General features: G+C 42.6%; 2 long non-coding RNA genes across 4 annotated transcripts in view, besides 1 other annotated feature; both read left to right on the top strand.

Moving 5' to 3' along the window:
- Positions 1,704-2,226: an enhancer, noted in NCBI's record as "H3K4me1 hESC enhancer chr16:22635639-22636161 (GRCh37/hg19 assembly coordinates)". NCBI's record gives its function as "activates a minimal SCP1, AML or CMV promoter by ChIP-STARR-seq in primed H9 embryonic stem cells {active_cell/tissue: H9 hESC(primed)}" and the evidence as "EXISTENCE:reporter gene assay evidence [ECO:0000049][PMID:30033119]".
- On the top strand, positions 13,025-16,012 carry LINC02890 (long intergenic non-protein coding RNA 2890). The gene is made up of 2 exons (NR_186362.1): positions 13,025-13,090; positions 13,657-16,012. It is a non-coding gene; the product is annotated as a long intergenic non-protein coding RNA 2890 (long non-coding RNA).
- Positions 16,013-18,480: 2,468 nt separating this feature from the next.
- Positions 18,481-25,812, top strand: part of LOC112268175 (uncharacterized) — a 30,600-nt gene continuing 23,268 nt past the window's right edge. For all 3 annotated transcript variants that reach the window (XR_002957911.2, XR_002957910.2, XR_002957912.2), the window contains exon 1: positions 18,481-18,559. This is a non-coding gene — a long non-coding RNA (uncharacterized LOC112268175). The remainder of the gene's footprint in view (positions 18,560-25,812) is intronic.

Genomic DNA, 25,812 nt, shown 5'->3' with positions numbered 1-25,812 from the left:
TAGAAAAAGATGTTCAACCTCACTCATAATATAAGAAATGCAAATTGACTACCTGGATAACATTTCTCACCTATCAAATTGGAAAAAACCCAAACGTTTGGTAACACATTTTGTTGATAAGGGCTGTGGGGAAACAGGAATGCTTCTACATTGCTGGTGAGGATTTAATTTCATATAATCACTCTGAAGAGCAATTTGGCACTCCAGTGAAATTATGAATGTACATATCCTTTATTCCAAAAATTCCACTTTGGAGAATTTATCCTAAGGATATACATGCACAACTGTGAATTGTATTTGCACGAAATTACTCATTACAACATCATTTGTAATGCAAGTGTATTAGTCAGGGTCCTCGAGAGAAACAGACCAACAGGACACACACACACACACACACACACACACACCCTGTTGGTTCTGTTTCTCTAGAGAACCCTGACTAATACAAATGTGTATGTATAAGTACATGCATATATATGTGAGTGTGTGTTTGAAGAGGAGAGAGAGAAAGGGACAGAGAGAAAGAGAATATAAGGAAATGGCTCACACAATTATGGAAGCTGAGAAGTCCAGACCCAAGAGAACCGATGCAGTAAGTTCTATCCAAGTCCATGTCTGAAGGCAAAATAAGACTGATGTCTCAGCTCAAAGACAGGCAGAGAAAGAGCCTTACTTAGCCTTTTATTTTATTCAGGCCTTCAATAGATTTGATGAGGGGCACCCACAGTAGAAGACAGTTTGCTTGATTGATTCAGTCGATCAATTCAAATGTTAATCTCATCCAGAAACACCCTCATGTCAAACACACCCAGAAATAATATAACCAAACATCTGGGCAGCCTGTGGCCCAGTCAAGGTGACACATAAAATTATCCAACATGACAAGCAACTGGAAACAGCTCACATGCCTATCAATAGGAAACTGGTTAAGTAAATGATGGGACATCCAGACAATAGAACATTGTGCAATTACAAATTTTAAGAAGAAAAAGAAGAACGAAGATATTCTCTATATGCTATCACAGAAAGATCTAAAGTGAAAAAAGCAAAGTGTAGAATTTGTGTGTAATATGATACATTTGAAGGAAAATGAGGAAAAATTACAATTTATATATCAATCTTTTTGCATACGTGTAAAGAACTTCTGGAATGAGTCATAAGAAACCAAGAGTGCCAGGCGTGGTGGCTCTCACCCATAATGCTAGCACTTTGGCAAGCTGAGGCAGGACGATCACTTGAGCCCGGGATTTGGAGGCTGCAGTGAGCTATGACTGCACCACTGCATTCTAGCCTGGGTGACAGAGCAAGACTTTGTTAAGAAAGGAAATGAAAGGGGCTGGGGGAAAGGAAAGGAAAGAAACGCAAAATTAAGTGCAATAATCTCTCATGAGGACAGAAACTAGGCATATACAAGACAACGAAGAGAGAGAATTTTTACTAACTGTTTATACTATCTGGATTTTTAACTATGAAAATGCAGTGCCCATTCAAAAAGATTTTAAATAACTGAGAAAGGAAAAAAAGAGCTGTGTGCCTAGGAAGGTACAACTTGGAAGCCATCAGCACACAGCCAGCATTTAAAGCCATGAAGAAGGTGAAGTTGTCTAGACAGATGTGAAGAGAGAAGGAAGTTTAAGGAGTGGGGTAGAAGAAAAGGTGGTGGGGAAGCAGTCCGAAAAATAGAAGACAGAAGAGGCAGGTGGTCTCAGAGGGTATATAATGGTCTCACAGCAAGAAATATAAAATGCAAACTCAAGCATTTGGCAGCTGGGTCGTTTTGGGTTGATATATTTAACCAGATAGTCTGTATTGTGTTTGCACTTTCTGTAGGAAATATATCATGTAGTTACATTTCATCCTTGGAATTCCTCTCTCCTGTGAGTGCAACCTGATTTGAGATGTAAATAAACTGCGGAGATAATGCCGGAGTCTCGTCAGACGCCCAGTTCTCCCGCCAGCCGAGGATGGGAGTGATGATGAATGGTGCCAGGCCCGCTGCATAATCTTTTCTGTTTTAATACTCGATTATCATGTCCCTCATCTTCCCTGGACCCAAGACTCAACACATTAAAATCTCTTTGTTTCTTCCACAATGCTTCTATCTCCATTGCATCTCCAGCCTCCTTTAATATTGTTCATTATTGAAGGGAACACAGGAAACCAATTACCCAGGTGGCAGCCGGAGTTGGTCATGTGCCCACCCAGCCGCACGGAGAGACCGGTTCCCTGTTCAGACGAATGAGAATCCTCACGCTCTGCCAAGTCCCTCACCTGTCCTCAGGCTCCTGGGAGCCACCACTGACATGGCCACACATGCGTTAGACATTCACGTTCAGCTAATTCAATTGGCGTTTGTCAATGCCAGGTGCTTTGGGAGGGCCAGGCAGTTCTGCAGGCAAAGCAGTTGTTCACACAGTGGTTAAGAGCAGAGACTTCCAGAATACCTGAGTTTAAATCCTGAGTCTGCTGATAAAGCTGTGTGACCTTGGACAAATTCCTAACCTCTCAGTCCCTTTGAGTTCCCATTTGTAAAATGGAAATAATAACAGTACCCACATGTTGTGGGTTAAATTGTACCCCCCCCAAAAAAAAAAGATATGTTAAAGTCTCAACCCGTGGTACCTGTGAATGTGACCTTATTTGGAAATAGAGTCTTTGCAGATGTAATCAAGTGAAGAATAGGTCATGCAGAATTAGGGAGACCCCTAAATCTAATGACTGGTGTCCCTATGAGGAAGAAGAGATTTGGAGACGCAGAGACAGATACATCAGGAAGGCCACATGAGGCCACAGCAGAGAATGGAGAGATTCATCTGCAAGCCAGGGAATGCCAGTAACCACGAGAATCTGGAATATGCAAGGAAAGATTCTTCCCTTAAGGCTTTGGAGGGAAATATGGTCCTGCCAACACCTTGACCTTAGACTTCTAGCTTCCAGAATTATGAAAGAATAGATTTCTGTGGTCTTAAGCCACACAGTTTGTGGTCATTTGTTACAGTAGCCCTGGGACATTAATACCCCAGCTCAGAGGGTGTCAATTGACATCAGAGGGTGTCAAATGAGGATTGATTATACATGCAACACATGCAAAGTGCTTAGGAGAGTGTCTGACATCTGGTGAATCATACAAGTGTGGCGTAATTGTTATTATTTGTTGATATTATTGTGGTTGCTTTGTCCCATAAGCAGACATCCCTTATCATTACAGCAATAGCAGACAATGGACAAATAAGTTGCCTGCCCATCTGCACAGACACCTGGAGTTGACTATCGGCAAGCAGGCTCTCAGTCCATTCCCTGATACAAGGGAAGAGGCCAAGCTCTTCCATGTACGGGGCTTGCATTGCTCACCTTTGCAGGGAAATTGTAAGAGGGAGGATGCCAAGCACATGTCCATAGGTTGACAACTTTCTAAAGACTGAACTGGTTTCTGTTATACTGAGACCTCCTAAGGGGAAGAGTCAATTCCTTAGTCAACATAATTGGGGCAAGGGAAGCACATTGGTGAAGCACATGGGTCTTGGGGTCAGAGTATCTGGCTCAAATCTCACTTCTTCCACCTACTAGTTCTGTGACCTTCAGCAATACTTTAGCCCTTTTTTTTTTTTTTGAGACTGTGTCTCACTCTGTCGCCCAGTCTAGAGTGCAGTGGCGTGATCTCTGCTCACTGCAACCTCCAGGTTCAAGCGATTCTTGTGCCTCAGCCTCCAAAGCAGCAGGATTACAGGCATGCACCACCACGTCCAGCTAATTTTTGTTTCTTGGTAGAGATGGGGTTTCGCCATGTTGGCCAGTCTGGTCTCAAATTCCTGACCTCAAGTGATCTGCTCACCTTGGCCTCCGAAATAGCTGGGATTACAGATACAAGCCACCCTGCCCAGCCCTTTAGCCTGTTTCCTCATCTGTAAAATGGCAAAGGCTAACATAAAGTGTATCATAATGTATTGGTGGATAATCTAGAGTGGATAGAAAAGGGCAAGTTTTTTCAGGGCCAACACAGCTCCCTTGGTCCTGCACACACACACACACACACACACACACACACACACACACACACATATCTGTTGGCACTCTGAGGTCACTCTCACACCCACTGTCATTATCTGTTCCCTGTAATTATCTGTTGAATTTTTTGCCAAAATTATTTACCATTCAGTCCTCTACAGAAAAAGTTTGTTGATCCCTGCTTTAAATCAACTCACTTTTTAATTTAAATGCATTTCTAAATAGGACACATGATATAGCCAATGTAATTGAAAACCAGCATTTCTTGCCATAGATGGAAGGTAACAATAAAATAAATGTGTAACTACAATTATTAGTGTGAGTCAAAGAAAGAACACTCAGAGTAGAAGGAGAAAAAGGAGGATTTATAATAGCAGGGAATCAGAGGAACTCGGGGGAAATAGGCCATTGAGAAAGGTAGTGAAGGCTGTAATAGAAATACTGCTCATCACGAGGGAGCAGAGTAAATAAAAGCGTGAGGGAAAAGGACACTGGGAACCAAAAAAAAAAAAAAAATGATTTCTTTTCAACATCTGAAAGTAATAAGCATAATTTATAAACTAGATTAGAAAAGAACATCTCAGCACATTTATAATGAAAACTGCTGATGCTAATGAGAGCAATAACATTTAAATAGAAATCTGTTTACCTTTGGGAAATTCATGCATAACTTCAATGCTGTACTGATTAACTTAAGGACCAGGGACTGGACTGATTAACCTTCCTGGGTTTTTGTTTTCAAAAGGGGAGTTGGCTGAGGTGTAACAGCCTGACGAGAACTCAACAGCCTAAACCTATGATTGGGAGTAATTGGAACCAGTAGAACCGAAGTCAGAGTAGCCAACCTGGCCATATGCTACAGTTCTTTCCGGTATGAGCATCCGAGGTTTCTTTGAAAACCTGAAGAAAGCTATGCTCCTCCTTCTCAGAAAAACACACAAAAATACACACACCAAAACTTTTGCATTTAATTTGTTTTACATTTGAAATGTATGTCTTGTATATCAATATAAGTTAAAAGCTGTCTTAAAAAAAAAAAAAAACTCCTGATCTAATTATTTTATAACTTATTCTAAGAGTTAAGGCCTATTTAAATGGTAAAGGGGGTCAATCCAAAATTGCAAATAAAACAAATGTTTAAAATTTTCTTCTTCTCAAAATCACATTTTAATGAAAATACTATAATTTCTTGGCTTGAATCAAAAGTTGGCTTTGTGAAGTAGTCTTTGATATCAATCCCAAATCAATTTTAAATTTTCCGTTAAATGGCACTAAGGGTCAAAAACCCTGAACCCCCAAAATGCACAGGAAAAGACAAAATTAACATTCCCATTGCTTGCTTTGCCAAGTTAGAGTGGGGCTATGTCAATAAACACCAAATCCTCCAAGACTTGGTAAATTAAATTCATGTCGCCTGTTTTCTTTTGTCCTTAAGTTAATGAGGCTGGGTCAACGAGGGAAGAGTTTATGAATCTATCATTAAATTTGAAGATGATCTGAGTGTAAGTAACCTTCAAGTGACTTCATCAGTGTTTCAAGGTGTTTTCAGATTTGGTGCGCCATGAAATTTATAAGGCTGTCATTTTTGGCTCCAATCTGCAGAATCGCTTTCATTCAGCCTTGAGAAGTTTGCAGAGTTATCCCCCTGCAGGGTAAGATTTTGGTTCACACAGCAGTTCAGAGCAGAGACTTAACCACTGCAGGTTAACATTTTTGCCAAAAAAAGCTCACGATTTTTCTGCACTGACCATAATAGTAACTGAAGGACCTTGCATGGAAATATTGGCTTCATTCTGGTGAACAATAATTTCTTCCAAGTAAGTCCAGTGGTAAAAGAATTTCCTGCCAAATTGTTCTGCAAAGGAGCTTTTCTTCTTCTTCTTCTTCTTCTTCTTCTTCTTCTTCTTCTTCTTCTTCTTCTTCTTATTATTATTATTATACTTTAAGTTCTAGGGTACATGTGCACAACATGCAGGTTTGTTACATATGTATACATGTGCCATGTTGGTGTGCTGCATCCATTAACTAGTAATTTACATTAGGTATTCCTCCTAATACTATCCCTGCCCCTTCCCTATGCAGCCATAAAAAAAAAAAAAAAGTTCATGTCCTTTGTAGGGACATGGATGAAGCTGGAAACCATCATTCTGAGCAAACTATCGCAAGGACAGAAAACCAAACACTGCATGTTCTCATTCATAGGTGGGAACTGAACAATGAGAACACTTGGACACAGGGTGGGGAACTGCAAAGGAGCTTTTCATACTCTCATAAAGGTGAAAATTCTGCCCCAGGTTCAATCAAGAGCTTGGGGGAATTGTTTCCTGGAAAGGCAGCATACTTGTATGTAAACAGGAAGAACACGATATTCTGCATCCATTCGGTAGCAAAAACTCCTCAAAAGGCCAGCTTTTAGGGCACGAGACAAGGCTCCCTTCAGGATTTTGGCCGAGTCCCCATGCCAGTGTAGAAAGTAATGAAGCACGCAGCGTCTCCATTAAAACAAGGAAGCCATATGTGTTGTAAGGCATGCCAGATGCTGTCATCCATACCCAGACATTTTTCCCAGTTAAAGTTGTGTCTGAAGAAAATAAACTTTTCAGGCATGATGTTTCCAACGGGACTCACCAAAAGAAAATGTTTCTTCTGAAGGTGTCAGAATGCACATAGTGGATGAAGAGTACATAAAGAGTACTACCTCCGCACTGAAAGGCGTCGACAGTTGCACGCAGTTGCAAGCTGAAGGAAGGAGAAATCGCTACAATTCTTGCTTTAAAATATCCCGAAGAAATAAGTGTTCATCGGCCGGGCGCGGTGGCTCACGCCTGTAATCCCAGCACTTTGGGAGGCCGAGACGGGCGGATCACGAGGTCAGAAGATCGAGACCATCCTGGCTAACACAGCGAAACCCCGTCTCTACTAAAAATGCAAAAAAAAAAAAAAAAAAAAAATTAGCAGGGCGTGGTGGCAGGCGCCTGTAGTCACAGCTACTCGGGAGCCTGGGGCAGGAGAATGGCGTGAACCCGGGAGGCGGAGCTTGCAGTGAGCCGAGATCGCGCCACTGCACTCCAGCCTGGGCAACAGAGTGAGACTCCGTCTCAAAAAAAAAAAAAAGAAATAAGTGTTCATCTTTTGGAGTAGGTGAGGTTATCTGAGAGAGGCACTACTTTATTGATTTCTCTGCTCCAAGTCATAAACCAGCTTGATCACTGCTAAGGTACTGGTCTTCCTCAAGATATCCCCAGTTGTACAGATACTCTGCATTTTTGGCAATGTGAGTGACAATGTTGTAGAATGTTTCTAGATATGGCATTGGGGCTGGGGCAAACGTAAGATCAGGTGGAGTTCCAGCCTTTCCAAATTTAAGGTTTGTCTCAGGAAACACACCCACACTGAAAGATGCTGAGATGGAAGTTGCTTCTTTGGTTTTGTTTGTTTTATGCACCCATTGATGAGCGATTTGCATTCACAGAACCATTGTGGCTTTAGTGTCCCATAATGTTCAATGAGGAAAGCGAAACCAAGGGATACGTCAGTTGCGTCATGCTTTTATCTCTTCATACTTCCCAATTCAGCTAAACTTGATATGAACAAAGACAGATTCCCTTGAGTATTAAGGCAAGGCATATCTTCTTTAATTTTTATCAGTGAGAAATTAATATAGGCATTGACACAACCATAACCATAAACTTTGTATATTACCATTCCACAACTGTTTGAAATGGAACAATATCATAATCATATAATTTGACACCAAATTTTTTTCAAAGATGACTTTCAAAGTAACAGAAAGAAAACTGGAAGAAAAGCTATGTGCGCGCGTGTGTGTGTGTGCGCGCGTATCTGATTCACAGAACTCTTCTGAGATGGAGTGTCACCCTGTCGCCCAGGCTGGAGTGCAGTGGCACGATCTCAGCTCACTGCAACCTCCGCCACCCAGGTTCAAATGATTCTCCTCCCTCAACATCCTAAGTAGCTGGGATTACAGGCATGCACCACCACGCCCAGCTAATTTTTGTATTTTTAGTAGACACGGGGTTTCACCATGTTGGCCAGGCTGGTCTCGAACTCCTGACCTCGTGATCCATCCACCTCAGCCTCCCAAAGTTCTGGGATTACAGGCATAAACCACTGTGCCCGGCCTGATGCACAGAACTCTTGATACTCATCTATATGCCCCTTCTCTGACCCCTTCTTTCTCTTCCCCTACTCTAGGTTAAGAAACTCTGCAATTAATATTGATACTAGACTCCAGCCCACCGATGCTTTTTTTTTTTTTTTTTTTTTTTTTAGACAGAGTCTTGCTCTGTCACCCAGGCTGGAGTGCAGTGGTATAATCTCAGCTCACTGCAGCCTCCACCTCTCCAGGCTTGGTTGATCCTCCCACCTTAGCCTCCTGAGTAGCTGGGACCATAGGTGCACTCTGCCTCACCTGGCTAATTTTTTACTTTCTTGTAGAAACAGAGTTTTGCCATGTTTGTCCGGTTGGTCTCAAAACTCCTGGGCTCAAGCGATCTGCCTGCCTCAGCCTCCCAAAGAGCTGGGATTACAGTCATGAGCCACTGCATCCAGCAAGTCCACCAATGCTTGTACGGACTACTGGGACAGCAACTTTAAGTGGGGATAATCAAATAGAGTTATAATGAATTGCTCTGACCAACCATACCAAGGGACAGAGATCTCTAGTCAACATACATTTCAAGCCCAAATTGGCCCACATTCCCTATTCTTCTCTGTTTTATACTCTAACATTGACCAACTCCTTATTTTCACTGATAAATGATGTTTCCTTCATGATATCTGTAGAGCCTGGATTGTTAGAGCTTAGACCCTTTATTTTCTTCCTGAGGCAATGTAGCCTAGCGGTTGAGTGAATTGGTTTGAGCCAGGTGTAGTGGCTCTTTTTAATCCCAGCACTTCCGGGGTCCAAGGCAGGTAGATCAGTTGAAGCCCGGAGTTTGAGATCAGCCTGGGCAACAGGGCGAGACCCCATGTTTACCGAAAAAGGAAAAAAAGTGAATAGGTTTGGAAGTCAGATGGGCCAGAGTTTGACTCTAGTTCCACTATTTGATTTTTTTAATAGCCATGTGGCCTATTTAAGCCTATTTTCCAATCTGTAACTAGGTATTAAAGGAAATAATATATCTGCAATAATCTCGCTCCATTTTTGATATCTGACTGCTGATAGCTTTCAAGTCCCAACCTTTCCTCTTCCTCTTCTGCCTCACATCTGAACAGACCAATAACAGAACCTGGGTGTTATCTCCTTTGGTGATGCCAAGAAGTTCAACACTATACAAGCCTGACTTGTAGGCAGAAACCCACAACCCAACCCTATCCCCCAGCTACCATCAAACCCAAGCCAACCTCCATTCTTTGCTTTCTCAAGCCATTTTGGACCTACTAGGGAAGCCTGCCTTGCTTATTACGTGAGTAATAAACCTTGTCATAGTGTGTGTGTGTGTGTGTGTGTGTGTGTGTGTGTGTGTGTCATATGAACAAATCTGGAGTGACAGAGTCCATCCCACTTTTGCAGGGTGACCACAACTCTGTGAGCAGTATGCCTAGGCAATGACCACCACCACCGGGGGTCATTCTTCTTTGGCTTTGACTTGTGAACAGGCCCTGCTGCCTGCTGGCTTGCATGCGCTTTGAGTTGTGCCGCTGCCGGCAGGCTGACTTGCTCTTTGAGCTGAGCTGCTTTCTGCTGAATTTGCTGAGCTTTCAAGCCTCTGTTATATACTTAACCAACCTAAATCAGAAATTTCACTAATTGGCATTTAGAAACAGGAGCATGGGATTGGGGCCCTCCTTAAAGTGACCTTGGATCATGTGTCTGGACTCCTTTGTGTGTCTCAATTCCAGCATAAGCCATGACTGCCACTAGGCTCAGGGGAATGACTCTTACTCTGTTACCATTCGTTGTATGTCTCAACAGGACTTTAGTCCCCATTTTATAGAGTGCTTGGGAAAAGACGGATACCCTATGCAATATGCATGCCATTGAGTGGTCCTTGCATGGAAGTATATGCTGAAGTCATACTCCTAAAAACAGGTGACTCACTAGGACCCTACAGAATGGTTTTGCTGCTGCCGCTGCTGCTTATGTGTTTCTCACAACAAAGTTCTCAATCCTGAGAGTTATACGGAAAAAAATACGCTTAGCACCCTGGTGACATAGCCAAAGGGTTAATTCAAACACAACTTAAACCCTGGGTCCTTAAACCCAATAAAGCAACCATTTCTAAAAGGCAGGCCCCTAATTCGGACTGTATTAATTTCAGGCTCTTTGAGGTGAAATTTCTAAATATAAGCAAGGTAGAGAACACCCACTCCCTGAAGTATATCCAGTAACCATCAAAAAACAATAACAATAATAACACCCGGATGCCAGAGCCAGAGGAAACAACAACAACAACAACTACAAAACAGAAACAGAAGTCCTCAATTTGACCCAACTGGAAATCCAAGATGCACCAAAAGAATGTATACAACAAAAAGATAAAAGATTGGCCTTTACAGCTCTGCAGCATAGATTGTGAATTAACTTCAAAATCTACTGAGATGTACCCGTTGGCAAATTTTAATGGCCTTCATCAACACGGGGGCTGAAATTATGGTCATACCTGGGATCCCACTAAATTTAAACAAGGTACCCCCTATAATCTTGGGAGAGTTACTGAACATAAATGGAAGACAAATAGGTATGCCTCTCCTTAACCACCAGACATATTGCCTTACCTAAACTCCGCCTAGTTAAAATGCCCATGGCCCCAAAATATCTCATAGTGGGCAGGGATGCTCTAACCCAAAGTGTGATAACTTAAAGTTAAATTAGGTTTTTGACACTTACAATGGGCTTAACACAAAATGTGACCCCCTGGACCTCCCTGACCCTAGTTAGAATATTTAAGACGTCCCTGACCCTAGTTAGAATATTTAATAAGATCTAATATAAATCAAAACAAGGCATTTAAGATTGAAACTCATTATGCAAGGTCCGTTTTGAAAAGGGAGTGATTATTCCCACTACTTCTCCATTTAATAGCTCAATTTGACCTCTTTTACCTTGGAAGGAAAGAATAGTGCCTCACTATAGATACTGAAGTCTTCTTTTCTTTTTTTGAGACAAGGTCTGTCTGTCACTCAGAGTGACTATAGTGCAGTGGCGCTATCACAGCTCACTGCAGCCTCAAACTTCTGGACTCAAGCAATCCTCCTGCCTCAGCCTACAGAGTAGCTGGGACTACAGCTGTGTACCACCACACCCAGCTAATTTTTTTTTTATTTTTTATAGGGACAGGATCTCACCATATTGCCCAGGTGAGTCTCAAACTCTTGGTCTCAAGCAATCCTTTCACCTTGGCCTCCCAAAGTGCTGGGATTACAGGTGTGCACCATTGCACCTGGCTGATACCGTAATCTTAATGTCACAATGCCTTACCCATTGAGGTTCTCATACCCAATATTAGTAAACTATTGACTTCATCAAATCAGCAACTTGTAAATACCCTGCAGTCGTAGATTTAGCTAAATCTCTTATGTTCAATGCCTATTTTTACAGTCTCTTAGCTGCACTTTGTCTTCACCTTCAGAGGGATACAATATACCTTTGCTGGAGCACTCAACAGCCTTGCCATTGCACACAATCTTTGTGGGCGAGATCTTAACCACATTCAATGTGATAGGGCTTGCTAGAAAGCTGCTGCATTCCATCCCTAACCAGGACATTCTTGAAAAAGGAGAGGATCCAAAGGTTAACACAATTGGCGGAACTTCAGGAAGTAATCTTAGCCCAGGATGCCTTGGCTAATAATCAGCCCGTCCACACACCTTTACAGACTCATGGACCACTGCCAATCATCTGGCCTTCTAGTCTTGCCAATGGCAGGAACAACAATTTCTTACCCAGAGTTTCTGCCTTTGGAGTACAGAACTCCACGAATCTCTTGCCTCATAGATATCCAACATATAAATCAAGGTCACACATGTCTCTGTACCTACAAAAACCACAGTACAAAGCCTCCCTAAGACACTTCTTATATCATTTTGTGTTCTGAACAAAGCACGCATTTCACTTCTCAACAGACATAATGCTGGGCTCTGGAATGAGTCATTCAATGGGACTTTCAATTTCCTTACCAGCCTCAGGACACAAGCCTCATAGAGAACCATAATGGCTTAATTAAACCAGTTCAAACTCAATTAACTGAAACATGGCACATTTTTAGTCATCAGTCAAATATCAAGGGCGAATTGCAATGAAAGGCCTGCCAACAATTTTGACTCTGGGTATATAACCCAAAAGAATTGAAAGCAGATTATTGAAAAGATATTTATATACCCCTCCAGGTTCATAGCAGCATAATTCCCAATGGTTAAAATCCAATGCTTATCCATTGACAGACAAATGGATAAGCAACATGTGGTATATCCATACAAGGGAATATTATTCAGCCTTAAAAAGGAAGGAAGGCCAGGCACAGTGGCTCACGCCTGTAATCCCAGCACTTTGGAAGGCCGAGGCAGGCGGATCATGAGATCAGGAGTTCGAGGCCAGCCTGGCCAACGTTGTGAAACCCTGTCTCTACTAAAAATACAAAAATTAGCTGGGTGTGGTCGTGGGCGCCTGTAATCCCAGCTACTCAGGAGGCTGAGGCAGGAGAATCACTTGAACCCAGCAGGCAGAGGTTGCAGTGACCTGAGATCGTGCCATTGCACTCCAGCCTGGGTGACAAGAGCAAGACTCCATCAAAAAAAAAAAAAGGAATTTCTGCAATACGCTACAACATGAATGATTTTGTAGGACATTACGCTAAGTAAAATAAGCCAGTCACAGAAAAACAAATACTGTATGGTTCTACTTAAAGGAAGCCCATAGAGTTGTCAAAATTAGAGAGACAGAAAGTAGAATGGTGGTCCCCAGCAGCTGCAGAAAGACAGAGTGGGGAAATTATTGTTTAATGGGTACAGAGTTTTCATTTTACAGGATGAAGACTTGTGGATATGGATGGTGGTGATGGTTGCACAACAATATCAATTTATTTTATACCACTGAACCGTGCACTTCAAAATGGTTAAGATGGTAAGTTTTATGTTGTGTATTTTACCATAATAAAAAAAATTGTAGAGGGAAAAACAGTCTGCCTCCACTTTTGATATGGGACTGCTAACATCTTCCACCCTCCCTCTCCCCCTCTGCCCCACATCTGGGCAAGCTAAGAAAGCCTGCTGCTCTCTCCTCTGGCACCAGCTGGAAATTCATACCCAACAAGCCCTAGCCCTCCCACCAGACCCACATTTCATCCCCATCCCCATCGCATCCCCATCCCCATCCCCATCCCTAACCACCATAAATGCTAAGGGAGTTTCCTTGCCTGGTTTTCTGAAGCCATTTTTGGACCTGCTTGGGAATCTGCCCTGCTCTCTCAGAAAGCTTCATTATATGAGCAATAAACCTTTTCCTACCCTCTTGGTGCATGTGGTGTATCATCAGTCTTGACATCTAAAACAAATTTTGGGTGGTGGGGTCCATGTCTTTGCAGGGTGACCACAATAGTACCTGGCACATTATGTGTTTAATAAACAGAGATTACTGTCATATTTATTTTATTTTATTTTTTGAGATGAAATTTCACTCTTTTTTCCTAGGCTGGGGTGTAGTGGTGCGATCTTGGCTCACTGCAACCTCCACCTCCCGGGTTCAAGTGATTCTCCTGCCTCAGCCTCCCAAGGAGCTGAGATTACAGGCATGCGCCACCACACCTGGCTAATTTTGTATTTTTAGTAGGGATGGGGTTTCACCATGTTAGCCAGACTGGTCTCGAACTCCTGACCTCAGATGATCCACCCACCTTGACCTCACTTACAGGCGTGAGCCACCGCGCCTTGTCTCTGTTATATTTATTTCTCTATTTAAATTGATGGATATATGCAAACCTGATCATTATCATACTTATGCCTAGACACAAGAGAGGCAATAAACTAATCTAAGTGATGCTTGTGATGCCAAAGATGTCAGAACACTTTCTGGGCCAATGGCAGATACCTCATGTCACCAGATGCTAAGGGTCCACAATAAAAAGCACTGAATGAAAATTTTGAGGATAAATATCTCCAGGTTGAGGAAGAAGGTTGCACATATCGGGTGCTCAATAAATATTTGTTGAATGAATGAATGAGTGAATGGCCCCAGTGTGTGGGGCTTGGGAAGTGATTGGATATAGGCAGAGAAAAGGAACAAGTCAAAAATAATTCAGAAATCAAGAACAAGCAAGTTGCCTTGATACACTTCATTCCTACACTTGGCAAACTTTAGTGATTAAGGAAACAATGTTTTAAAAAAAGTTTTGGTGATGAGACATTCAGGAAGATCTATCAATAAATAGCAAACCTGGTCCTTTTTAAGACACTGTGTATAAAAAAATTCCAAAAAGATTAAAATCAATGCAGAAACCAAAGAACCATTTTTTTCTATATCATATTGATCATTTCAAGTGGAACTGTTAGCTATCTTAGAAAAATTGTGGTTCTCAATTGCTTTTGCCTCTATCTCTGAACCACCAATCCTAAAGAAAAACATTCAACCAGAAAATTTCAGCACATCACAATCTCTCTGAAGATTAAGAAGTCTCTGTGAAGGACTGAATGTATAAATTGAAAAATTTTTGCTGTCACATTTAGGTAAAAGAGAAATCGTTCTTCATATCCCCTTCCTTTCCATCTGTAGCTCACCTATGTCAACTTTCCTCTCAGAAGTGAAATAAAATTAAAGCTATGACACTGAGTGTCAGTCATGGAGGGACACGTTCCCCACTTAGCCTTTGCTGAAGTGTTTCCAGAGACAACTGTCTAATGCCAGGTCCCCACTTAGTGGGCTGCACTTTTCTACTCATTTGCACATAATCCAGAAGTCACATTTTGGGTTCACAGTTTCCACTGGGGTAACCTCATTAGGCCTGGCCACCTCTGTGCTTCTTGTGAAGTCTCTGATTTGAAGGATTAGTATCCTTTCCAGACTGTGTGGGTTGACTTTCACCCATCTGGAGTTGCTTGGAACAAAAATAACTACCTCAACTCCTTGTCACGAAAGCAAAAAACAAGATAGCATTAGAGTTCTGAGAACAGGATGTCATTACGGGTTGTGCCTTGTCAGCTACAGGTAAGATATTTGAGTGGCTCCTCAAGCCTCCCCAACTCCCTCTCCGACCTCGCTACACAGTCTTCCCAGGTGTGGTATTTGACCTCCAGACTGCCACCCAGAAAGCAACTCAGAGCTCAGCAACACCATGATGATGAAACACAAATATCTGGGCCACCAACTTTGGAGACTCCACTGGTTGCTTTTGTGCAGCTCTTTCTATATATGACTTTCAAAATGGCAGCCAACCCTCTCAACTGTTGGTTGATCTGAATATGTAAAGTTCAGCCTTCAAACCCAGCAAACAGTCAGCTATAGGATAGAGTTCAGGTGCTGGGGAATGACCACGGTTGGCTGCTACGTTGGGAACCCTGGTGACATCATATATGGACCTGGGAATGTAAAGAAACGTAGGAAATCTGAATTTATGACTTTTCTAATCTCTCTATCGGGATCCTTTTTTGGAATCAAGATGATTTTCCTTCTAAAAGGTCATTTTATTACAGTAATGGGCAGGGTAGACATACCTCACTAGCGTACTCTCAAAATTTCTTGCATGCATATGCTTTCTCCGGCATGCATATGCTTTCTACTACAATGTGAACAAGCCTACGAAAGCTAGCCTAATGGAGGATGAGAGACCACGTGGAGGAGAGCTGAAGTGCCCCAGCCAGCAGCTAGCCTACACCCACAGCTATTTTGCTTGTGTTCCACTCGTCCTATTTGCATAATATTGTTCTTTAAGTTAACCCATTCTTAATTTATTGTTTTAATCTTAAGCAATAATATTCAAGAACTAATGAGTTTTGTGTATTCGTTATATTTTTCCATAATATATATTATACTAATAAATGCCCATTCAAATTTTTGTTTGAGTGCTCAAGTGGGTATCATTTAAAATAATCTTATATACTATATATAACAGCCAAGGTTTGGGCAACACAACAGAAACTGCATGAGTTTATTTTATCAGAATTTTTTAAACGGTATGGGAGAACTAAAAAAGTAAAAAAGGGAACCCTTGAGTTAACAAGGAGATAAGAACTACATAAAGCAGTTACTGTCCTGAAGGAATAAAGGGAAGAGCATGGGGTTATTAGAACCTAGAAGTTTGGAACCACCAGGAGCTGGGACCCTATGAGGAGAGGGTTGGCCCCTGACAATGCTGGTGTCTCTAAGGGAGCTCCTGAGGCTGATTCTAGCAGTGTAGGGAAAGAAACTGGAAACTGGAACAATTTCCTCTGTAATCAATGACCCTTGCCAGGGTAAAGAATCACTGCTGAAGAGATGCTACTGGAAAAGCAAGCAAACAAAAAGGAGGGTGTCCCTTCCCCTTCTTCCTTCCTTCCAGTCTCCCTCATGACAGAGCATCTGGCTGGTGACGGGAAAAGGTGCTCCACAGAGCACCACCCCAACATCACACGGGCATCTGCTGACCCACAGCTGACTGCAGATGAGGAAGCTCAGCCTAGGTCACACAAATGCCTCCCAGCTGAGTCTAGCCTAAATTGCCAACCTGCCAAATCATGAACTAATAAGTGACTATTGTTTTAAGCCACTACCTTTAAGGGAATTCAGTATGCAGCAATAGCTATCTGATCCATATAGGCCTACAAGGCTATAGAAAAACTATCACATGTAATCCCAGCACTTTGGGAGGCCAGGGCGGGTGGATCAACTGAGGTCAGGAGTTCGAGACCAGCCTGACCAACATGGAGAAACCTCGTCCCTACTAAAAACACAAAATTAGCCAGGCATGGTGGTGCATGCCTGTAATCCCAGCTACTTGGGAGGCTGAGGCAGGAGAATCACTTGAACCTGGGAGGCAGAGGTTTCAGTGAGCCAAGATCGCACCATTGCACTCCAGCCTGGGCAAAAAGAGCGAAACTCTGTCAAAAAAAAGAAAAAGAAAGAAAGAGAGAGAGAGAGAGAGAAAGCAGAGAGGCTACTGCAGAGAAAAGTCTAGAAGGATGGGTTCATGGGTTCATCGAGAGACAATAGCTTAACAACCAGCACACCATAGTTGGCAAAACACTATCATTGAAAAAAAAACATGCTCAAAAGGGGAAATGCCAGTTTGGGTAAATATGCTTTTGTGTTGGAGAGAAAGAATTTGGAACAGGCTTTTCAGACCCCCTTAAGGCCCAACAAACAAATTATAATTTAGACAAGTCTGGGATTCTTCACAGCTCAGCTTGTGGTGATGGTATTAGCTTCACAACTCCAAACAAGTTAAGCTGTCTGTGTGAAATCTCCTCAACAACACCTCACTGGCAAACCTGGAGGTGCTGAAAACAGAGCTTTCAATTCTTGTTTGCAACCAAGGGAGTTGAGTTGGCAGATGGGCACTGTGTCCAGCCTTGGGAAAGGACATCGCAGACTTTGCATCCTAAGAACTCATAACCACAACGGCAAGGTAAGACACAAGCTCTTGAAAGTTTCCATCACAGTGCAGCACAAATGACCTTGGCTATGTGCCCTGTTATTGCTGGTCCCTGCTTAAAAATCTCCTGTGACTTCCAACCACACAAATTTCCTACCTGGTTGCAAAAATGCCCTTGATAATTCACCCCTCCCTCTATCTTGCCCCCTTTACAATGTGGCTTGGCAGCTCCTCCCATCAAGAGTTAAAATCTATTTCCTCACCCCTTGAATCTAGGCTGGCCATGGGACTTGCTTTGGCCAATAGATGTGGCAGAAATTATGGCGTGACAGTTCTAAGCATGAGTCTCAAGAGGCTTTGCATGCAGCAACTTTCTCTTAGAACCCTGCCACCATGTGAACAATCCTGCCTGGGCTAGCCTAATGGAGGATGAGAGACCATGTGGAAGAGAGCTGAGGTGCCCCAGCCAACAACCAGCCTACCCCAGAAGCAGAGGCATCTGCTGACCCACAGCTGACTCCAGATGCATAAGGGAGCTCAGCCTAGATCCAGAACGCCTCCCAGCTGAGTCTAGCCTAGACTGCCAGCCTGCCAAATCATGAAGTAATAAGGGACTATTGTTTTAAGTCACTACCTTTTGGGGGAATTTGATATGCAACAATAGCTCTCTGATACATATAGGCCTACAAGTCTATAGAAAAACTATGCTGCCTCTCTCTCCAGCCACACAATTTCTTTCTCTTCTCATTTACTATTCTAATTCCTCTGTGTTATAGTCTGTGTCCCAAAATTCATGTCAAAATCCTAATCTCCAAGGTAATGGTATTAGAAGGTAAATCTTTGGTAGGTGATCAGGTCATGAGGGTGGAGCCCTCATGAATGGGATTAGTAACCTTATAAAAGAGAACCCAGAGAGCTCATTTGCTGCTTCTGCCATGTGAAGATACAGTGAAAAAAGAAGCAGGCCCTTGCCAGATACGAGTTTGCCAATGCCTTGATCTTGGAATTCCCAGCCTCCAGAACTGTGAGCAGTAAGTTTCTATTGTTTTTTTTTTTTTTTTTTGAGACGGAGTCTCGCTCTGTCGCCCAGGCTGGAGTGCAGTGGCGCGATCTCGGCTCACTGCAAGCTCCGCCTCCCGGGTTCACGCCATTCTCCTGCCTCAGCCTCCCGAGTAGCTGGGACTACAGGCGCCCGCTACCACGCCCGGCTAATTTTTTGTATTTTTAGTAGAGACGGGGTTTCACCGTGTTAGCCAGGATGGTCTCGATCTCCTGACCTCGTGATCCGCCCGCCTCGGCCTCCCAAAGTGCTGGGATTACAGGCGTGAGCCACCGCGCCCGGCCAAGTTTCTATTGTTTATAAGCTACCCAGCCTATGGCATTTTGTTACGGCAGCCTGAATGGACTAAGACAGTCTACCTAGACCATTATTTCCCTTTCATCATCCACCAGCCAATTCCAGCACATCTTTTAGATCTCAGCTTAAATACTCCCTCCAAGACCTCCCTCTATCTCTAATATGAATGAAATCCATATCTCAAGTTCTTCACAGAATCCTCTACTCTTTCCTTCATGGCATTTGTCATAATTTGTAATTATATATCTAGCAAAGTTCTTTGTTGTTAAACATCTACCTCCTCCACTCTCCTAGAAACTCCACAAGGACATCCCTGCACCCAGTGCCTAGGCAATGCCAGACACATAGCAGATGCTCCATTAATTATCTGTCGAATGACTGAATGGCTTCCAAGTTAGTTAACTGGGCACCCTTGATAACAGATTCTGGCCTATTTGAAGGATCAAAGAAGAAAGTGGTGCTACCTTCTCCCCTGCCACTATCTTGCCCACTTGTGGTGCCAGTTCAGGAGGTTTGGAATGGATGTGGCTAATGATAGACGTAGACCTATTGCCTTTCTTGGATCATAATTCTGCCAGGCTCTGAGTCCATGTGGCATCGATGGCTAATTGTCCTCCAAAATTTATCCTCTCTTCTTCCATTTATACCCTCCCATGGAGTTTTAACAGGGCATGTGGTCACCCTACTGGGATCTCACTTCTCAGCTTCCCTTGCAACTGGATGTGGCCTTGTGACTAAATTCTCATGAACAGAATGTGAGTGCAAGTGATGTGTCAGTATCTTCATCACTTTCCTAAAAAGGGAACTGCTGGTCCTCCACTTCCTCTCTTTCACCCTTCCAATGAGCCAGAACATGCATGTGATGCTGGTGAGTCAGCTTCAGTCACATGAATAAAAACAAACTCCAGGAGATGACTAAGCAATAAGACAGAAGGAACCCAAGTCCCTAGATGAGTTCACAGAACCAAGCTACCTATCCAACCCTGGGCCCACCTGGATTATAACATGAGAAAAACATAAGTCCTAATCATATTTTTGAAGCACTGCATTTTAGGGCTTCTTTGTGACAGCAGCCTACCCTCTAGTCTAATCAATATACCTCACCAAGTCTCCTGCTCCTAAGGGAGACAAAGAAGCAAAATGAGTCTCAAAACATCATCCAAATGGAATAGATACAGACCTGTAATCCCAACACTGTGGGTGCCCAAGGCGGGTGGATCACTTGAGGTCAGGAGTTTGAGACCAACCTGGCCAACATGGCAAAACCCTGTCTCCACTAAAAATACAAAAATTAGCCGGACGTGGTGTTGTGCACCTGTAATCCCACCTACCCACGAGGCTAAGCCAGGAGAATTGCTTGAACCCAGGAGGGGGAGGTTGCAGTGAGCCGAGATCATGCCACTGCACTCCAGCCTGGGTAACAGAGTGAGACTCTGTCTCAAAAAAATAAATAAAAATAAAAATAAATAGACCATTAATTAATAGATATAGCCTTGGTCTGTGACCAAAGCTCAGAATGTTATGATATTCCTTTCCTATGTCACCTCAACTTGCCCCTGTCATCAGACAGGACAAATTCCCCACTGGTCCTTTGCACTCACAGCTGTTACATTTGAAATGGGAGCTTAGCCTTCCCTGCCCTGGTTCCTCCTTAGACTCATTTGGGAAAACAGGAAACGTAATTATTTCTGCCATTACCTTTATCTCATGGAGCCTGACAGAGTGTAACCAATGGTAGGAATTAAAACATTCTAATTGCCAACTCACAACAACTCCCGAAAAAAATCATTTTAACTCATTATACATATTAAATTATGACATGCTTAATGTCCAAACCTAATAGATTCAGTACTCAGGAAATCCCTTATACAGGTAGACACCTTTCCTCCTGTACTTTAAGAAAATCTTACATCAATATGCGGGACTTCTCAAATTTTTCTATCACAGTTTTCTTAATAGGAAGGAGAATTTGTGCCAAAAGATGTATGGAAATTTAGCACAAAGTAGCCCTCTACAAGCGGAGGATTTCTTTAAAGCATTGTGTTTTATCTCAAGATTCCATGGCAAATGTTTATCTTCTCTGCTTGTTTTAGTATGAAATAGTTTTCATTTGCTTGTCATCATTTTTAAGGAGTTGAAAATACAATCAACCTCACTCATCATAAAATAAAAGCAAATTAAAACTACTATGACATATTTTCACCTACAAAATTGAGAACATTTTAAAATGTGATAATAGTTCTATTAACAAGGGTGTGAGAAGACAATTCTCAGGCAGGGCATGGTGGCTCACACCTGTCATCCCAGAGCTTTGGGAGGCTAAAGTGGGAGGATCGCTTGAGCTCAGGAATTCAAGATCCACCTAGGCAACATAGTGAGACTCTGTCTCTACAAAAAGTAAAATATAAATTAGCTGGGTGTGGTGGCATGCGGCTATCATCCCAGCTACTGGGGAGGCTGAGGCGGGAGGATTGCTTGAACTGGGGAAGACCAGGTTGCCATGAGCCATGATCACGCCACTGTATTCTAGCCTGGGTGGCAGGACCAGACCCTGTCCCAAAAAAAAAAAAAAAAAAAAAAAATCCCTCTTCCCTGATTGGTGGGACTGTAAGCTGGTGCAACCTCTTGGGAGGAGCAGGTGGTTAGAAAACATGTATCAAATTTTTATGCAAAATTTAAATAGACCCACAATTAGACCCTAGGAATTTATTCTCCAGATATTCTCATGCATGCGTGCAAGGTATATTTGCAAAGATTTGTATCCAGCACTATCTGTAATTGCAAAAATCCAGAAGCAACCTCAGTGTCAATCCTTAGAAGACTGTGTACATGAGATACTGTACATGTTGGTTGGGTTCTCCGAGAAGCGCATGCCCGGATAGAATGCAAAAGATTCATTAGGGAGTAACACCTCTGCCAGAAAAGCAGAAGAGATAGGATTGGGCAGGAGGGGCCATTAGAGCACAATTTAGAGCTACCACCATTTCAGAAGGCAGCAAAGATTGCCTGTTAGAGAAATGGTCAGGCCCTTGTACCCTCAGTCACTGGATGGGAGCCACTCCAAGAAGAGCATGACCATGACTTAACAGCTAAGGGGACCCTGAAAGAGCTGCCAGGTTAAGGCTATCAGCTCCTCACTCCCCACAGCTGGACAGAGAGCCTTTGTTTAAGGAAGATCTGAGCAGCTCATCTCCAGGTCTGGCACAAGGGTTACCCATAGGATGAAGATGGAAGACATGAATCTATATGTATTAGTATGGAACAATCTCCATGATAGATTTTTAAGTGAAAGAGCAATAGTAAATTGCAAAAGAGAACATAACGTTTTGGGACTAGGCAGAAGTGATAACCGAACAACAGTGTGAATGGAGTAAAATGTCACCGAATTGTACACTTTAAAGTGGCTAATTTTGCTATGTGAATTTCACCTCAATTTTTTTTTTTTTTTTTTTGAGATGGTGTTTCACTCTTGTTGTCCAAGCTGGAGTGCAATGGCAAAGTCTCGGCTCACCACAACCTCCGCCTCCTGGGTTCAAGCAATTCTCCTGCCTCAGCCTCTTGAGTAGCTGGGATTACAGGTGCGTGCCACCACGCCCGGCTAATTTTGTATTTTTAGTAGAGACGGGGTTTCTCCATGTTAGTCAGGCTGGTCTTGAACTCCCGATCTCAGGAGATCTGCCTGCCTCGGCCTCCCAAAGTGTGGGATTACAGGCGTGAGCCACCGTGCCCGACCCCATCTCAATGTTTTAAAAGAGAGAGAATACAGCATGCTGTCATTTGTGTTAATTTTAAAAAGGAAATGAATTTATGTGCATGTATAAATGCTAGACATGGAATCTCTCTGAAAGGAGCCATGAAACACTCATACTATGATCTCCAGTCAGGAAAGAGACTTAATTTTCACTGTACGCCCTTGGTGCTGCTTAAATTTTTATCATGTGCATGTAATTACACCCTGTCTTTAAAAATCATTAAAGATGTTTAATTGTTCTGATGAAGGAATACATTACTTGCCATCAAGAAAAATGAATGAAAAATTTTCTGCGAGACAATTTTTAGCAAGACACTGTTGTATTGATCATTCAAGTTCAGAAAATTCAGCCTCCGTCAAGGGGCACAAACATCATATATCAGGTTCAGTTTGTCCTCTCTCTCAGAGTCAAAGTGCTTTAGGAACATAGACACAATAAGTTTCTGGAACCAAATGGCAAATATCAAAACTTGCTAGAACAGGAGAAAAGTGTATCTTATTGAAAATTCACCAGCTGCTATACCATTCAGCATTGGGAAAATCAGCATACCTTCTTAGACTTCATTATTTTAAAGATGGCAAAATAGCCAAGTCATGGATGTCTCCCCCTTTCATCAAAATGTAAAGAACTAGCTGCCTCTGGGACTCTCCACCAATTTTCAAGCACGTCTTTTGAACCCATTTGATGGTGTCACTCAATAAGGGCACCTTTTTCAACTTGGCTGCCTCTTTTTGACCCAAAATAATTTCAACCCTTTTCTGCAGCTCCGGGCTTCACCAGGCTTTCTATTATTGCATATACCTTTCATAGTGATTCTAAACCGACCTCGAATGAAGAGACAAATGATTTTTTATCTATTTGTTTGATTGCACTTCTCCTTGTACTGCTCCAAGACAAGGCTTGTCTTTTGAGTTGCAAAAAATACTAGCGCTCTATTTCCAAAGTCAAACAAGTGGCTTTTCAATGTCTCTGCAAGTGTTTTGTTTCATGCAGTCAGTGCTGACTTTTCTCGATGGAGAGACATATGGTTTGGGCCCATTTTAGCAACTCTATAATAAAACTGATTATAAAAATAAGCATCTAAGAATATCTTAGGCTTTTAAGATTGACACCACTGCTTGCTACTCAATTGCTAGTTGTGGTTGGCAGTGCACGCAGTGTCTTTGTGGTCAAGTTCATTGTGGCAAGCTCAGAGGTCATGTCAGATCACAACACAGGGACTTTGAATTGGGTGAACATCCATTCATTACGTGGCACACGTCACGAGCTTCAAGGTTTTGCTTCAAAAACTCTTCCGTCTTCTAGGTGAAAGTATAAGTTTAAACTTACTGCTCTTTAAGAAAGTAAATGAAAAATGACACTAAAGTCCCAAAAGCCAGAATTGTCAGCAATCCTAGGTGCAGTTCATTCATTCATTCATTCACGTATTCATTCAATAAATATTTATGGAGGGCCTATTTACCTGGCAGCACTTCATGAGGCCCTGGAAATACAATAGTGAGCAATAAAAACACACTCCTTCACCAGGTGGAGCTATAGTCTACTAGGGAGATATAGATGTTAAACAAATTATCACACAGGCCGGGCATGGTGGCTCACACCTGTAATCCCAGCACTTTGGGAGGCCGAGGCAGGTGGATCACCTGAGGTCAGGAGTAGGAGTTCAAGACCAGGCTGACTAACATGGTGAAACCCCATCTTTACTAAAAATACAAAATTAGCTAGGCATGGTGGTGCATGCCTGTGATCCAAGCTACTTGGGAGGCTGAGGCAGGAGAATTGCTTGAACCGGGGAGGCAGAGGTTGCAATGAGCTGAGATCGCACCATTGCACTCCAGCCTGGGCAACAAGAGCGAAACTCCAACTCAAAAAAAAAAAAAAAATTATCACACAAACAAGTACATAATTCTATATTGTGAAGTGTCCCAAAGAAAAATATGCCACTCTTAATAAGTACAGGAGGCTTACTTTAATTTGGAAAGTTAGAAAAGTGATGTTTAAAGTGAGAACTGTAAGACAAGTCACTTTGTCAGTGCAAAGTGGAAAGAAAGTATTTTAAGTAGCAAGGAGAGCATGAGTAAAGACCACGGAGAAGGAAAGCGAGGATGCAGTTAGAGACATGAAAGGACTGCATTGGTGGGGCACCGGGATGAAGGAGATGATGAAGAAGATGTAACCAGAAAGGCTGGCAGGGACAAGGTCATGCTGGGTCTTGCAGGCCAGCATGAGCACTTGAGATTCTTAAAGTAATTGCAAGGGAGCCTTTGAGGGTTTTAATGAGGGCAGTATCTTTATCAGATGTGCACTTGTTTGGGGTTTCTCTGGATTTTGTTGAAAGAACAATTTAAGCAGAAGGCAGATTAGGAAATAGGAGAATCGAGAGGCTGTATATGTTGAGACGCAGTGGTAGCCTAGGGTGACAATGCAGGAAATGGGAAGCAGTGGATGAACTGGGGATATGTTTTGAAGGTAGAATAGATGATGGCTGGGAAGACAGTGACTATTCAAGGGCAGGGGGGTTGGGGGAGGTATCAAGAATGTTTAGAATATAGCTAACCACATACCCTTTTAGAAACAGTCTTCTCTGAACATTTCTCCTGTCTCCAAGCCTCAGTTTCCTCATCTATGAAATAAGAACACTACTACTTCCTTTTTAAGGTTGTTAAACTGGTTAAATGAGATTATGCAGGGAAAGCATCACTAGTCAGTGCTCAAAAATGTGCTTTTTAAATTTCCTCCCTTTGCCTCTTATTCTCAACTTTGTCCTTTGTAATATTATTGTTCTTTAAGTGGGCTTGGTTTTGTCCTATCTTTGCCCATTCACTCACTGCTCCCCATCCACCCAAATCCCCTCTGTATTCTGTTTATGCAAGACTGAGTTTACCCCTTCTCAGTCCATTGACTTATCTCTCCTCACTCATTGACTTGTCCCAGGCAATTTATTCTGCAATCTTGGACAAAAATCTGGATTTTCAGCCAGGTGCAGTGGCTCACACCTGTAAACCCAGCACTTTGGGAGGCCAAGGCGGGTAGATCATTTGAGGTCAGGAGTTTGAGACCAGCCTGACCAACATGACGAAACCCTGTCTCTACTAGAAATACAAAAATTAGCTGGGTGTGGTGACGTGTGCCTGTAATTCCAGGCATGCCTGTAATCCCAGCTACTCGGGAGGCT

The sequence above is a fragment of the Homo sapiens genome, chromosome 16 (genome assembly GCF_000001405.40).
Source record: "Homo sapiens chromosome 16, GRCh38.p14 Primary Assembly".
Classification (NCBI taxonomy): domain Eukaryota; kingdom Metazoa; phylum Chordata; class Mammalia; order Primates; family Hominidae; genus Homo; species Homo sapiens.
The sequence above is the reverse complement of the archived record's forward strand: the minus strand, read 5'-3'. Positions and strand labels throughout refer to the sequence as shown.